At 43.9% G+C, this 17,019-nt stretch overlaps 1 protein-coding gene across 7 annotated transcripts in view; it reads left to right on the top strand.

Annotated features, from left to right (window-relative positions):
* The window catches only part of AMOT (angiomotin), a 65,955-nt gene that overhangs the window by 10,828 nt on the left and 38,108 nt on the right, over positions 1–17,019 (top strand). For 5 of the 7 annotated variants that reach the window (NM_001113490.2, NM_001386998.1, XM_047441856.1 and 2 more), the window contains 3 exons: positions 4,784–4,932; positions 6,816–7,749; positions 14,127–14,646. In NM_001113490.2, the coding sequence (NP_001106962.1) occupies positions 6,878–7,749; positions 14,127–14,646 (1,392 nt within the window). In that variant the 5' untranslated portion in view covers positions 4,784–4,932; positions 6,816–6,877. Of the gene's footprint in view, positions 1–4,783; positions 4,933–6,815; positions 7,750–10,565; positions 10,680–14,126; positions 14,647–17,019 lie in introns of those variants that run through there. The other 2 variants (XM_005262090.1, NM_133265.5) reach the window with 2 other exon arrangements.

Genomic DNA, 17,019 nt, shown 5'->3' with positions numbered 1-17,019 from the left:
GGTATATTCTTAAACTTTTCTCATTTTAGGCTCCATCTAATTACAGGGACTCTTTATACTTTTCTCGAGATAATAAAGAAGGGGATGTGATGGTGTGGTCTACTCCTCTTTTGGAATGGATGTGTGTGCTGGGAGATAGAGGGAGGTGGCAACAGGATTCTCCTTGCTACCCAGTATGTCACTGCTCACATCCACTTCAGGGTTGATCACCTTTGTTGCCTATAAACATGTTTAAGGTAATTGCTTCAGAGCAAAGCAAAGTCAAACTGGGACCAAAAACGACCAAGACCTTGAGTTACCATCCCAGAAACGGATCTCTCACACTGATCCTCAGTAAGATTTGGAAATGCCAAGGCCTTGCTGTGGTTCTTAAAATAATTTTTCAACCTAATCTAATAGGGTGTTCAAAAATAATTGTGATGTTTGCAATAGAGTGTATTAAGCTGTCCTTGCATTGCTATAAAGAAGTACCGGAGACAGGGTAATTTATAAAGAAAAGAGTTTTAATGGGCTCACAGTTCTGCAGGCTTTATGGGAAGCATGGTGCGAACATCTACTTGGCTTTGGGGCGGGGGCCTCAGGAAGCTTGCAATCATGGCAGAAGGCGATGGGGGAGCAGGCACATCACATGGCAAAAGCGAGAGCAAGAGACAACGGGGGAAGATGCCACACATTTTTAAACAACCAGATCTCATGAGAACTCACTATCAGAACAGCACCAAGAAGATCTGCCCCCATGATCCAATCACCTCCCACCAAACCTCACAATTCAACATGAGATTTGGGCAGGGACACACATCCAAACTATATCATAGAGGTAGAGATAGGAACAAAGAAGAGTTGGGGCTGACTCTTCTCTTAAGCCTTTTCTTGAACTAGTGCTAGAGTTAGGTAAGAGCAAATGCCAAGCTGGTATGATATTGAACAGACCTGGAACAGGGGGCCTGGAAACATCCATCTGTGGAGGTTCATGTTGCTGTTCAATCCACCTCACATCTTAGCCTAAAAAGCGAATTTGCAAAGCCTTTCTATAGTAGTACTTCTAGCTAAACACTTCCCCCTTACTGCCTTGAATTTTCCTTCCTTCCATTAACATTTTACTTCCAATGGAACTGGAAAATCAGTGGTAGCGTTAAAGCAGGTTTATAGTCTTTTAAAATCAGGGTCAATTCTATGTAATAAATAGTTATTAAGCATCTCCTTTGTACAAGCAAATAATGCTAGATAATATGTTGTAGTGGAAGGGCTCTTGCCCTAGGCGTTATAAAAACTTTCATTTTGGTCCTGGCTCTCTCTTACCCTTTGAGGCCCTGGCATCTTCATCTATACAAGAAGAGGGTGGGACCACTAGGTGGTCTCCCTTTCCAGTTCTGGCTTTCAATGATCTAAGGACCCCTGTGTAGTAGACTGAGTTGCAAATAAAGTTTTTTTGTTTTTGTTTTTCAAAAAAACAACCTTTCTTCATAAAATTGCTGTACACTTCTAAAAAAAAAAAAGGCTACTTTGAAATAACAATTATAGTAATAGCTTACTTTTATTGAGGCCTTACTATGTGCCAGGCTCCATGCTTAGCACTTTACATGGATTAATTCCCTTAATCTTTATAACAACCCTATCTAGTATGAACACCATTATCCCTATTTTGCAGATGATGAAATTGAGACTTGGGAGATCAAGAGACATGTACAAGGTCTGTTAGTAAGCCATACATCCAGGATTTAAACTTGGGCAGTGTGACTCTAGGCCCAGACTCTGTGCCACGGTGTTTATGATGCCTATCCATTGAGATAACCTGCAAAAGGACCATTGTTTTTCACATCCTAAATGAAGTGAATTGGTATCTTGGGTTGCAAGACTGTTGGGAAAGTTATTCTCTAGGGTACTTTGGCTACAATATGGACCAACCTGAGAGAACATAAGAATTTACTGGGGCCTCACTTTTTGTGAGAGGTTATGTGTGTGTGTGTGTTTGCACAAATACATACACATAGGTACAGGGAAAACTTTGAACTGGCCCCCTTCCATTTATCTGGGAGTCAAATTGGATGAAACAAGTTGACCAAGATTTAGCAGAGAAACAGCTTTCTTAGACTTAGATTCTTTATCCTGGTTGGTAGAATGAGAGGTAGGGGCAGAATGTGGGAGGGTTTAGAAGAGGGGATAGAAAGAAGATCTTATAGGCATATTGCAAAATTTATTTGAAGGGTGGGAGTTTGGTCTGTCCTGACCACCTTGTAATGTTGATTTTCTGGGACTTGTCTTGGGAAACATTAATGTGTTTTGGCTCAACCTCACAGGTGTATTGGGAGAGGCCAATGACTGCAAATGGAGTAAGAATTTAGCTTGGCCTTGCTTCCCTGTTGTTGTTACAGAAGAGTTGATTATATAGATTCAAATTGCATTTTTAAAGACAGAACCGCAATTATTCTTTTTTTCCTATCAAATATTCTCAGAGACAGTCTGTGTGCCCAGGACAAACAAGGTTATTTTATTGATTGAAGATGATGTCAGACCCCTGGCAGTGGCATGATTAAAGCTACAGGGAGATTAAAGGTTATAGTGTTCATACTGTTTTAGTTCTTGTGCATGAAACAAGGAGTCTTTTCCTTTCCTTTCTCAAATAAATGGAGTAGTGTTTTCCTCATTATGTGACTCTTGACATGTAGATGAACATAAGTTCTTTAAGAAAAAAATAGTAAACTGGAGAGGACTCTGCAAAGCTTTTTTCTTAGGCTGATTTCTTTTTTAAACAAGAGACAAAGATGGCAGGAGGAGGGTGAGAGGGTAGGGGAACGATCTGTGTCCAGTTAACATAAAGTGATTTGGGTTTTGAAAAGGATATGGAGGGGCCTAGCGTGGTGGCTCACGCCTGTAATCCCAACACCTTGGGAGACCGAGGCAGGCAGATCCCTGAGGTCAGGAGTTCAAGACCAGCCTGGCCAACATGGCAAAACCCTGTCTCTACTAAAAATATGAAAATCAGCCAGGCATGGTGACACGTGCCTGTAATCCTGGCTACATGGGAGGCTGAGGCAGGAGAATCACTTGAACCTGGGAGGCAGAGGTTGCAGTGAGCCGAGATCCCACCACTGCACTCCAGCCTGGGTGACAGAGCAAGACTCCATCTCAAAAATAGATAAATAAATAAGAAAAGGATACAGAGGACAGAATTGAGAGAAGAGAGTAAGACCTTGCACGAGAAAAGTTTTCTCAATGAAGAGCTGAGTATCAGGAGAAAGTCAGTAATATCAGCATGAAGAATCTAAGTAGTACTGGAAAAAAATCATATGGTAGTTTCTCTCCAGGGACTCGCGTTTAAAAGCCTTGGGCTGTTTTCTGGTGTTTCAGTTGGAAAAAAAAGGATGAGTGTTTTGTTCAGAATTGGACAATAGAAGCACGGTGGTTATGTACCATAGCTCTGTTAACAGTCCAGCTTTGATTCCAATTAGAAGTTGTTCCTCTGCTTCAAAATTAGGGGAGATACCCTAAAATAATTACCTTGCAGATTTGAGATGATTTTGCTTTTGATCATGATTATATGTTGTGCCAAAACAAGATGGAAAGACACATTTCCGTGTTTGTTCACTCTATATCTGTTCACTTTATTTTTGGCAACATTGCAAGGAAATAATGTTAAATTAATCACTTTGTGGTTTTGTGGAGTTTTTAAAAACTTGAATGTTTTGAACATGCTCTCAAAATACAGAGATGTTTGTGTACTTCTTTTGCATTGCTTTCCTCCTCTCATGGAGTCACTGGTGTGGATTAAGCCTTTCCTTTAAGTGATATGAATGAATCATACATAGGCCAGGATAGAAGATAGGAATGTGGTTCATGTGCATGTCACTTAAACTCCTGAGTCTTAGAATCATTTTGATTAGGCTGACAAGGCTTTGCAGAGAGTCCAGGCAGAAATTAGACATAAGGACTATCTCAAATCCAGGTCTATTATTCATTTGCATCCAGTCTATATAATGTAAGTCTATGAGTTTTTTTTACTGAGACACTGGGGCAGTGGAAGTGCCAAGAAAGCAAGTGGAGGCATCTTCTGCTTGGAGAAGGGTTGCGCTCTGTGTTGGGAAGGGCAGTCTACTTTCCTACTCCAAGAATGGATGGACCATTGATCAGATGATCAGAGTGTAAGCTCCATGAGGGCAGGAATTATATTTTATGTGTCTTTGTAGCCCTTATTGTGTCTAGTATGAGGCTGACAAATGTGTGGAATAGTTGATACACAATAAATACTTAATGACTTGGTTGAAAAGAAGGTTCTTCCCCTCCCCTCCACCTATCTGAGCTTGAGGCACTCAAATTGGGAGCCTCACTGAGTGTTCTTTTTTTGACCAAAAACCTACCTTATGATGACTGCCCTCCCTTCTGGGATGTGGGACAGTGAGCCTCACTAACCTCCCCTGCTACTAATAGCAGTTTAAAGTTTGCACCCTAAAGGTGACAGTGGTTTTGGCTTTTGTCATCATCCACCATTCCAACTTGGAATGGAAGTGGTAGCTTTCTAGGGCTGTGAGGTCAGAACAGAGCAAGTCTCAGACCTGAACATTTCCATCACTGGAGACTGGCCTGGCCTTCCGGACACAGCTACTGGACACTGAGGTTTCTTTTCTGCCCTAGTGGAGATGGACTCTGCTACTCATTTAAAAGCCAAGCACCATAGGAGGACAAGTCATTCTCTTGGAAGAACTGGTTTGATTAACTGCTGGCCATTGGTGGCAAAATAGAAACGACGTTTTTATTTCTCCCTCCCTCCCTCTCCTGAACATTTCAGAGTGACCAGTGGTTGGACTCTTGGCGGCGCTTACCCTGAACCTGAGTGTTAGGGGAGAGGGAATCTGCCGTTGCGGTTTCTGGAGCTGCTCATAAGCAAGAATTCCCTATCCTGATCAAGGCTTTAAGCCTAAAAGAAAGCAGAAATAGGTATGGAATATTTCTGTGTGTGTGTGTGTGTGTGTGCACACGCTCGTGCATGTGTGTATGCATGTGTGCCTGTGTGCATGCTGGGTGGGGTGGGTGTGACGTGGGAGGGGGTGGTATACTTTTCAGGGTCCAGGGCAGCTCAGTGTCTGCATTTCCCTGCCTTACAGGGAGGGTTTGTAAATCACTTTTGCTTTAACACCATACTTGTTCCTGTTTCCAGTTTGTGAGCAGGGAAAAGTAATTTGGTAGTCATCTCTCTAGTTTTGGGCACCAAAAAGGATTTATATATTATGCTTGTCAGCCTATCAGAATATCCCAATTTGACAGTTCAAGTACAGGAGTCCTGGAGGCACATTGGGAGGAATGGAAAAGGGACTGGGTTGCTTAACCCACTGGTGTGCACTTCCCAAGAGAATATGATGAGAGGGACTTTGGAGGGTCCCTTCGTGTTGTCAGACTGCCCAGCGCAACAGTTGGAAGCCAGGTAGCAGTAACCAACAAGACGTGAAGAAAGAGAGAAGATGAACTTTCTTCATATACTATATGTACATTCTGGGTCACTCTCTCTCTGCATGACCAAAAGAAAGGGGTTCGTGTTTCCAGAGAGATTGCAGGCCACTTAATATCATAGAAATAAGAGCCTGGGAGCCAGGGATCCAGAGTTGCCATCTAGAAACCTGATGCTGGTTAAACTGACCTTTATTGTGACTTTTCGTGTGACATTATGTTCATTCTCCACCAATTACTGAAGATCCTTAGAGTGAAAGTTTCATTATTGAACATTATTACTTAATTCCAATACTTAACATTGACAGATTCTGCCCAAAGAATTTTTGAATCTCTAATGAATTAGTGTGTACTATACAGTGCTGAGAGAGAGAAATCACCTACCAGCCATTTTTTGTTGAGAAAATAGACATCAAGAAAAGAGGAATCAGTTGTATACCCTGTAAACCAATAGTATGATTAGAATTTGAATATTAAATTGTGTTACTAAAATCAGTTTCAGTCAACCCATAGTACCTGTTCAGAAGAATTGATGGTGAGGGAGGGGATATGCTAATCGTATACCCTTTCCAGAAGGATGATCTTTATATTTTTCAATTTCTAAATTTTGTCAGAGGCACACTTCAAATAAAAGAGGCTTCCCCTTTAAGCTTCTACCCAATAACAATAACAGCAAATCTAAATGACTGTTTCTGGAGAGCTGAAAGGCAACTTTGTCAGTAATAAGTATTCCAAGTCCTTCTCTTATTAAGCCAAGGAGCATCCAAAATGGAGACTATGAAAATGATTTTTTAAAAAGATGTTTCAGAGCCTTATGAGATCAGAGAAAAAGATTTGCATCGAGGCAGGGATCATTACTGTCTGGTGCAAGCCAAGCTCTCTTCACCTTTTATTTATTTGAGTCTTTATTTTGCATTTTGTAGCTGCCTTCATATGCTGAGCTGCTTTACAAATCCTGTTATGGGGTAACTTTCCCCACTGTCCTGCCCCCACCTCCACAGCCATAAGATTTGGGTTTTTGCTTTAAATAGAATACAGAGAGATGAAGCCTGTGAATATGGACCTTGAAAAGTTACCCCCTTTGATTACCCTAGTTGACTGTTCCAGGTTTCTCAAGCATTCTTAGGAGTTAAGTCCAGATTGAATATTTAACTCATGCTAAAAGTGAAAGAGAAAACCTAGAGCTCTTATGCCTCCATGTTCTTCATCATATCAGTGCTAGGGCCTGGAATCCCCAACAATCTATTAATTTTAGAGTCAATTCTCTACTTTGTTTCTGCAATCGAATCCTCACCCTCCAATATCCATTTTCTTTCCCTTTAGAGGACTGATTTATCCATCAACTGGGTGTTAAGCTTCCTGTTTCCCCTTCCCAGGTCAAGGGCAGCCCAGGTGCCCAATTTCTCTCTCTCTTCACAAGGCACCACCAGCAATAGAGATGAGAAATTCTGAAGAACAGCCAAGTGGAGGGACCACGGTATTGCAGCGTTTGCTACAAGAGCAGCTTCGCTATGGCAATCCTAGTGAGAATCGCAGCCTGCTTGCCATACACCAGCAAGCCACAGGGAATGGCCCTCCTTTCCCCAGTGGCAGTGGGAACCCGGGCCCTCAGAGTGATGTGTTGAGTCCCCAAGACCACCACCAACAGCTTGTGGCTCATGCTGCTCGACAAGAACCCCAGGGGCAGGAAATCCAGTCAGAAAACCTCATCATGGAGAAGCAGCTGTCTCCTCGAATGCAAAATAATGAAGAACTCCCGACCTATGAAGAAGCCAAGGTCCAGTCCCAGTACTTTCGGGGCCAACAGCATGCCAGTGTTGGAGCTGCCTTCTATGTCACTGGAGTCACCAACCAGAAGATGAGGACTGAGGGACGCCCATCAGTTCAGCGGCTCAATCCTGGAAAGATGCACCAAGATGAGGGACTCAGAGACCTTAAGCAAGGGCATGTCCGTTCCTTGAGTGAACGACTAATGCAGATGTCACTGGCCACCAGTGGAGTTAAGGCCCATCCACCTGTTACCAGTGCTCCCCTCTCCCCACCACAACCCAATGACCTCTACAAGAATCCCACAAGTTCCAGTGAATTCTACAAGGCCCAAGGGCCACTTCCTAACCAGCATAGCCTGAAGGGCATGGAACACCGAGGCCCCCCACCAGAATATCCCTTCAAGGGCATGCCACCCCAATCTGTAGTGTGCAAGCCCCAAGAGCCAGGGCACTTCTATAGTGAGCATCGCCTGAACCAGCCAGGGAGAACAGAGGGGCAACTGATGAGGTATCAGCATCCCCCTGAGTATGGAGCAGCCAGGTAAGAGAGTTCTGTTTCTGTCATTTCCTGACCTCATCCCCAACCAGCTTCTGCTGTGTGTTGGGAATCTTAGGGAAGGAACGGGCAGGTGTTTGATATAACAAACTCTGCAATGCATGACAGGCCTCTGGCTTCGTGAATTGCCTGCCAACCCGAATTTGTATCCTCTTTAGCCATAATTAGCACTGTATTAACAATCCCTTAGCTTTGTAGGTTGAGCATGGCCTCAACTGCCTAGTGGACGAACAGGAGCAAAAGTCTTGTTTTCAGCAGCTATTTGCTGTCCTCTCTCCTAGGATGTTGAAGGGGTCTGTGTTTCTCATAAGCCCTCCTTGAGAGGTAGAAGCAAATTACCTTGCACTTTAATTAGTCTGGAACATCCTATCACTTGCACATATTCCCCTCCATGAAGCTTTCATCATTTATTTTTGCAAACAAATCTGTGTATTTCTTGTCAGTTACCATTTTTCCATAGAATTACCATTATTCTTTTGGACTAAACAAACACCCAGATGTTATGGTGGGGGAGCTATGTATGTATGTAGGTTCAGAATGTTACTTGCCTTATGCTTGCAGTTTATGAAATCTGGACTGTTGTATCTTTTTTTTGTAGAGAATTTATTAGTTGCCTGTCACATTTTTAAACCTCTGAGTTAAATTCCCATCACATCATATAGAAATTTTGGTCAGATGCTAAAATACAGAAGGAAAAATATTACCATTTCTGTCTTATATATTTAGTTGTTCCTATATATACTTCTTAATTATTCAGAGGTCCATTGTCCCACTGCTATATTCACTAGACCTTATGATTCTATGATTCTGTTCATTGTTCCTGTTGTTAGTATTTGGGCCATGTCTCTGATCAGTAGTATTTCCACATATAGGGCAGGAGAAAAGGTTTAAACCATGGGGACCGATGGTGGCATTTAAGTGTGGTATCCTGCCTCATGGCCATGAGTAATGATGGGTGACCATCAGGTTTGAAGTGCTTGGTCCTAGGCTGGCCTTCATTTATATGCGGCTCACAGACTAGGTCTGTGATGTCCTTTGATGTCTACCTCTTTGTCTCCTGTACCCTACTTGCTCATTTTGGAAAAAACCTTCTGGCTTGAAGTTCATTGAGTGACTCAGGAGAGAAGGCAGTCATGGGGTGGAGTAGGGTGAAAGTGAGAGAAGGCACCTAGCATTTCCTGGTATTTCTTTTTTTTCCCCTGCAGGTCCTGTTTTTGTAGCCAGAGGCAATTCACTTTGGACTCCACCTCTAACTTTGCCAGTTTAGGATTTTTTTTTTTTTTTCCCTCTTAACCCAGGTTGATTTCCTAACCCTTTTCAACCTCCTCTGTGCAGCTTTCAAAGGGCAGGAGCCTATGTTCTGATCAGTGTCTTGGAACAGGAAATGGGGTAACCAACAAGGCTACTCAGGTTTAAAAGAGATCAAGAACCAGATTCCCATCTGACCAATGAAACAGAAGACCCAGGGAGGGGTTGGTCTGTTCAAGACTGCCTCACTTAGTGGAAACCCATTCAAGCCAGCAAAATATCAATGAAGCTGGGGGTTTTTATTTTGCTTTTCCCATCAGTATGGAAGAGTCTGTTGATGGGCTGATGTCTGTTGCCTTGTGGGAGGGGAGTGTGTTGGCTGGGGTGTGGAGCAGAAGCCACAGCCCCACTCAGCACACAGCCCGCCTTCCCAGGAAAGCTATTTTCAGAACTCATTCACCAGTATTGTTTGTGATCTGAAATGACTCCCACAGTGTTTGAAGCTAGATGGAAAATTATCTGCCCTTTGATCTGCCTAAATAAATAATGAGGAGCCCAAAGAGGTTTTCTTTTTTTTTCCTTTTCTTCCCATCCTGATTAAACCACCGGAGAAATTTAGCTGCATGTATTTTACAGGAAGATACATATTTTTTATCCTCCCACCTAAGTTATCTGTGGATTTCTCTTTCTTTCTGTCCTCAAAAGCAACAGAGCCCATGATGATCTACCCTTGTTGAGCAGCATTTTAATACACAGTTTTGCTGTAACAGGTTTTTCTCTATGGGAAAGGAGCAGAGTGCTTGATAATGCTTGATGAATAAGCAAACCTAAAATGGCCCTAGTGGGAGGATGCTCCATATGAAATTTGGGTCTGCATCAGGCAAATACTGGCCGTAAAATTGTTGCAGGGCCCTACATGAGGGAGTGGCACCTATTGACAAATTACTGGCAAAAGGAGGTAGTTGAACTGCTTTCCAGAAGTGTACTGCTTTAAGGTGGTGACACATTTTCCCTCCTTTATTTCCTTTAACCAACTAGCTATACAGTTTGTGAGTACCTTTCCAAGTAACTGCTGCTAGCAGCAACCAATTAGAAGACTACATTCTGAGCCCTTAATCCACAAATTACAAGTCAGGATGCAAAGCAAACTCTTTGAACAAATTGCTGTTAAGAAAACATTTGCTTGCTTTTCGAGGTGCAGTGAACTGCTGGAGATTTGCTGTTAAAATGAACAAAATTATAAACAATCCTTTTATTACTTCATCTTTCTTATGCCCTCCTCCCCTTAAAAAATAAATACCTTGAATGCCCAGAACCCCAGATGAGAAACAAGGCAAAGGCTATCTGAATAATTTTAAAATTTCAGAATCTTTGTCTTTCTAAGTGCTGAACCTTTTCTGCATCCTGGGTTTATACATTTATCAACTGCTTTTAAAAATTAAATCATTTCTGTTTATAAAGCAGCCACCTCCTTTCAATTGTTGAAATCATGCCCAGATCTGAGGTTTCTTGAAATCCTTGTTTAGTGGAATCTAAGGGTGACCTAACTCTGTAGTTCAGAGCAGAGCTGGTTGTGCAAGAGAAACCATCAGGAATTTGCAGCCTGCTCCAGGATTCACAGATTCACCGATTCACCATTGCAGAGCCTGGGAAAGGCAGTTTCTGTGGTGAGGATCAATCAAGTTCCAGGCTATTGGGTGGCACCTGCTCTGGTGAGAGTGTGTGTGCAGGATTGCACATGTGTGTGCCAGGAGTGTGGAGTGTGTGTGTGCATGCACATGTGTGCATGTGTGTGTGGCTGGGGAGGGTGAGGGCTCCCAGTCATCGAGGTGGCAGGGTGGAAGGTGCTGTGTCAGCTGGGTAGAGTGGCTTTTACTTTCCCTTTGAGTCCTTACTACTGTCTCTGGGAGGAGTGTACCCCCCACCCTACCCCACTTCCCAGCTTTGGGGAGGATCCTGATTTTAGTCACTGGCCTTTGTCCTGCATGTATGCTATGTCCCCTTTTCTGCAGAGCCCCAGTGGCCCAGGTAGCCTTAGGAAGGAGCAGGATGAGGGGACGGAAGTGGCAGGAGGCAGGTCAGGGCTTGCATGGAATCATGTGATTCTGTTGTCTGCAGGCGGCTTGTTGTTCCTGGTTAACGTGTCAGTGGGGAGCGATTCAGGCTGCTGTGTGCTGGAAGGACCTGGAGAGTGTGCTGCTCACATGGCTGCCACCTTTATTATTACTGTCATTACTTTTACTGTTATTATTTAACTTGGGGTGTATTTTGGCTTCCTCTGACATCCGCCCCCTCCAACTCTCCCTTACCCCGTCATTCCTTAATCTCTTTTTCTCACGGGGAGCTTCACCCCAGTGTTCATTCCGTCCTGCTTTCCCCTGGTGGGTGGATGCTGGAGCCCAGATTGAGTTCTTCACTGAAGGGCTTTCTCTCCCTTTGTGACTGCCCAAGCCATTGCTGGTTTGCAAACCAGCCAGTGACGGGCTGCCTTGGTTTTCCCAACATCACGGTGCACTGAGATCTGCTTCCTTTTCCAGCCTGGGGAATTGAGGGGCAGCTGCCTTGTCTCTGCTTATCTTCATCCTCAGCTTATCTGACCCCAGAGACCTCCTTCTGGAGACCTCATGGTCTCCTCCTTCCCAAGGTCCCTGGAAGGCCATGTGCTGTTGTCCAGGGAATGCAGGGGCCTTTCAGTCTCCAGGCAGGAGGGAGGCCAGTGGCTGAGTTTGTTTGAGAGAGAGGCCTGGGTTGCTTGATGAGGCCCAGGGGAGCTGTGGAGAGAAAGCCCATTTCAGAACTGGGCGTTCAGTCTTTAAAAGAGAATACCTCCCAGGCCTTGGACTGCAAATCCTGGGAACAAAAATGAAGGTTAATATAGTGATTTTTTTCCCTTAAAATTTGAGAGCTGCATTGGAGAACATGAAACTTAAGCCCCTCTTTTCTGCCCACAAAGCAGAAAAGAGACACACAAGCCCCAACAAATCTCAGGACATTATATTTTAACTCTGTAGGCATGTAGAAATTGTAATAGCTCTCATTCAAAGAGAAAAAAGAGCACTTAGTCTTTTACCTGTGAGGAAACTGAAGATCCATAGAATGGAAAATAGGAGCTCTTCACCAAATAAATGTATAAATAACTCCCAGGCTTTTGATTGAATGAGTGCTTTGAGCTCTGGGGAAAAATATTATGTATGGCAGCAACTTTCCAGTTGTACTTATGAGTACCATGTCAATTCTTCTTTGCCCAAATAGTTCGCATGCCCTCTTCAATATTCAGCAATTATTTATAATGACAGATGTATGTGATTGGAAGAATGTGGGTACACCAGAGGCATAGATGGGCCTGAGCGACAGAATCCAGGGTTTGTACAGGTTTGAGGACTCTTGGGGAAGATGTAGGTTATTGGGTATCCATGAGAAAGTGTTTGGAATGATTTTGTAGCTGTAAAAAGCCCTTATAGTTAAGATCTCTTGTAAAGATGGATACATGAACAGTAATGGTAACTGGAGTGTGTGTCTGAGGAATGTGCTTTAGCATCTGGAATGCCAGTTAAAAGTTAATTGCTCCTGGTGATTTGTCCCAGTTCCACCATGAATTTTATGCAATTTATTGCAAAGATTAAATGGATATCCTTTAAGTAACAAGCTAACAAGGTCAGCTTATCTCACTGGGAGGTAGAGAAGTGACTGTAATTCCTATTCCGCCAAAAATGAGAAGACCCCAGTATTTTTGCAATTTATTTGTGACCTCAAGAATAAAATGGGCTCATGCAGATTAAGTAACTTGCACCAAGTTACACAGCTCGTGAGCAGTAGAAGAGGTCTCCAGACTCCCTCTGTTGGGATCCAGATCCCATGCACTTAGCCATCTGTCTTCCCTGGATTGAGAAATATCAACTGTAGAACAAGTGTCCACAGGACATGGGAGCATATGAGGTTAATTGGGCATGAGCTAGGGCATGAACAAGCTTTTTGTCTTCAGTGCACACTGACAGATACTATTCCTGGTAGTGGTGATGGTGGAAGTGATCCATCCACATACTAATTGTTTCCCTTAATGGCTAATAGTCATTAGGTATGAATTATTTATACTTAGGTGTTAGCATTTTGTACCTGGTAATTAGGTACAAAAATGGGAGAGCCACATTAAACAATGTACCAAAGGTCTCTTTCTGGAACTTTCTATGAGCAATAGGTTGGAAATCTAAGTATCAGTGCACAGAAATCAATGCATTATGGCAGTAGAAAAAGCCAGAAAATGGGAATTGGGAAAGAAGGATTCTATCTTGGCACCACCACTCTAATATTTGGCAGATGACTTCCCCTTTCTGGACCTCATTCCCCATCTGTCCAGTGATAGAGTTGAACTAAATAATTTTCTTTTAAGGCCTTTCCAGTTCTTACATTTTGCGATTCATTACATCAAAAATAGTATGTTAGCATTGCTTGTAACCCTCTTCAAGTCTTTTTATGGTTACTGCTAATGGGAATCATTAAATCGTTAACAACTGGAAGCAACAATAATCATTTAGTGTCTCTAATATAAGTATCTACCAATCCTTGAATAGTTTTTTTTCTTTTTTTTTGTGAATGTATGAATTACTAAAGGGAGTTGCAGATAGCAAGATGGGGGTGGTTTTTATGGCTGTTTGTTGTTTCCATCCTGGCAAATGGAACATAGTTTCTAAACTAGGATCTTTATGTGTGCTGGACCACGTGTATAATGTCAGAAAAGGTTTAATTTAAAATAATGAGATGAAAATTACCTTGTAGAAGAATCGTTTGAAATGTTTAGACTTGAGCAAACGGGTGTACAGGTGTGTATCACTACGATTTTCACAAAGTGACCATGGAAGTTGTCTGGTTCTGACCCTCATGGGATCACACCTCTGTTTGTCAGGCAGAGGCACAGAAGGTCAGGCTGGAAAAGGGCTGTGGTCTTTGCAGAGATAGAGCAGGCAGGGTTAGACTTCCCCATAGTCAGACCCTGCCTGCTCTTCATTTTGCAGGTGTCCTGGGGGCATCAGAAGCCTCCTCATCTCACTTTTGTGTGCCCTTCTCCCCCAGTGCCTTAGGAGAGAAATTAACCCGCACCTGCCCTTCATGTTTTACAGGCCAGCGCAGGACATCTCATTGCCATTGTCAGCCAGGAACTCGCAGCCTCACAGCCCTACTTCTTCTCTGACCTCTGGGGGGTCCTTGCCCTTGCTACAATCTCCACCATCCACTAGATTGTCTCCTGCCCGACACCCCTTGGTCCCAAACCAGGGAGACCATTCAGCTCACCTGCCTAGGCCGCAGCAGCATTTCCTTCCTAATCAGGCTCACCAGGGGGATCATTACCGTCTCTCCCAACCTGGCCTGAGTCAGCAGCAGCAGCAACAGCAGCAGCAGCACCATCATCACCATCACCACCAACAACAGCAGCAGCAGCAGCCACAGCAGCAGCCAGGAGAAGCCTATTCAGCTATGCCTCGGGCTCAGCCATCCTCTGCTTCTTATCAGCCAGTGCCAGCAGACCCTTTTGCCATTGTTTCCAGAGCCCAGCAGATGGTTGAGATCCTCTCAGACGAGAACCGGAACTTGAGGCAAGAGTTGGAAGGATGCTATGAGAAGGTGGCAAGACTGCAGAAGGTGAGGCTTCCGTTTTGGGATATTAGGGTCTCTAAGTCTTTATTTGTGAGACTTGTTTAATATCCACATTAAAGTCTCCAGTTGTGAATCCCAGCATTACTTGTGGCAGGTCTTCAGGATTTTTATATCTGAAGGTTAGATATGAGTCAAACTTTGGAAAAAGCCTTCTACCTGTCTACCTAGGAGAAGTAACGTCTTACATTTACACAAGGAGAAAAAAATTTATGCAGTTTTTCCAGACGCTATAGCCCTAAAGAAAACGTGATTAATTCTTTTAGAATTCCAAAAGGCAGTGATACTTCTTGATAAGAATACTGGTGATGCCTTTATAGGTAAAGGATCTGACGGCACCTTAAGGCTCATTGTCTTGGTCACATTTTCCCAAATATGAATTTGAATCTTAAATATAAAAATAAATGTAGTTCCTAGAAAAATCTCACCAGCTAAAGTTTGAGCAGTCCTGCCTTGTTCTGGAAAAGGCTCAGAATACTTTTTCCTAGTGGGAGTTCTCATAGTAACTCTCTTTCAACAATCCCTCCACCCCACCCTTTGATTTGGTCCCTCCCTGCAGCTCAAATTCAACATCTGCTCTCTTTCTCTGTTGTATGTGGGGGGCAGGAGGGGCTTAACACCACAGCTGGGTGACAGGTGACAGCCCTAGGCTGAGGAAATAGAAAAAGGAGTGTATCTCCAGTTCACATTCTTCTCTGCCCACCCCCATTGGGACTTTACCTCTGGAGTACCCCAAGCGAGGAACCTTAGCTCTTGGCTTCCAGGGGCTGCTGGTGAATAGGGTTATGCCTTTGGCCGCTTCTTTGCAGCTTTTGTCATTGTGGAGCTATTGTGGTTTGGTCTCCCTACAATGTGAACTGTTCAGAGAGGTGAGGGTGAAGGTGGGGGAGGGACAGGAGGATGCCTTGTATTGTCCAGCAACTCTGTCCTTAGGAAACACCAGGAGTGAAAATTTCAGAGGCCTGAATGAAGCTGAGTATTTGTAAACAGACACCAAATCTGGGGGCCTCAAGGAGACAGGGGCTTATTATCAGCAGATGATTTTTTTTCTTTCTTTCTTTTTTTTTTTTTTTGAGACGGAGTCTCGCTCTTGTTACCTAGCCTGCAGTGCAATGGCACGATCTCCACTCACTGCAACTTCCGCCTCCTGGGTTCAAGCAGTTCTCCTGCCTCAGCCTCCTGAGTAGCTGGGATTACAGGCATGTGTCACCACGCCTGGCTAATTTTGTATTTTTAGTAGAGACGGGGTTTCTCCATGTTGGCCAGGCTGGTCTCGAACTCCCGACCTCAGGTGATCCGCCCGCCTTGGTCTCCCAAAGTGCTGGGATTATAGGCGTGAGCCACTGCGCCTGGCAAACAGAGGATTTTTATATAGGAAAATGGCTTCCCTGTCCCTTAGTTTTCCTAAATCTGGATGAGGGTTGTTGGAGTGCTCTGAGAATTGTTTCTTCCCGGCTTTTCCCTGATTTTGTATTTTCACCCGCAAATTTTAACTATATCCCTATCCCCATCGCTTTGGTGAAATAAATTAATTATATCCATACACTAGAAACCCAGTCTGGCTGATTAGGCTAACAGTTGACACCCCCTCTCCAAACTCTCTCTTCATGGTGATCCCAGCCCATCTTTGATACAATCACTGAAGGATGAACCCAGCTCTAATACGGGCCCTTTTTGCCAGAGGATCCATGGTGATTTTTTGTGTGTGTGGGAGTGGGTTCAGCCAGTGACAGGGAAGAGGGACAGAGAATAGGATTGCTGTTGTTTGTTCCCCAAGATGGGAAAAGATGCCTCAAATAAGTGTAACTGGAACAGCTTGAATGTTGGGAAAGTAGAGGCTGACCCAGTGTCGAGGTAGAGTAGAGGGGAAGGTGGACCAGGAGAGGAAAAGGAAAGTGGGGAAAATTAAGGTAGATCCCAGGTAGTGCTGGAGGAAATGAAAAGGCCTGAGGCTCATGAGGGGAATAAGTAGACAGAGTAAGTCTGGAAAACCCACTGCCACCCTCCTCTCTGCCCCCACCATCACCCAGCCCAAACCAGTGGATATATCCTTCTGTGATGGCTTTTCCTGGAAGGCCCTATTGAGAGCTGTGGGACTTGCCCTTTTGAAGGATGGAGTATCTACACAGGGGGTAGGGGAAGGATTAGTACAAGATCTTGAAATAGCAGTCTGCACACCTTGAGGAAAGGGACTACCTTCTAGGTGTTGCATTCTGTGCACAACCGGACAGCCTTGAACTATAAATGCTGCCCAGAGCAGACCAACACCAAGCCTGCTCTTTCAGATGGAAATGTTTATTTTCTCTCCCCAGCGCTTGAGTTTCATGCAAAAGCTTCATCAGGCGCAGGCCTTGCAGATCT

Source organism: Homo sapiens, chromosome X (assembly GCF_000001405.40).
Source record: "Homo sapiens chromosome X, GRCh38.p14 Primary Assembly".
Taxonomy (NCBI): Eukaryota; Metazoa; Chordata; class Mammalia; order Primates; family Hominidae; genus Homo; species Homo sapiens.
The sequence above is the reverse complement of the archived record's forward strand: the minus strand, read 5'-3'. Positions and strand labels throughout refer to the sequence as shown.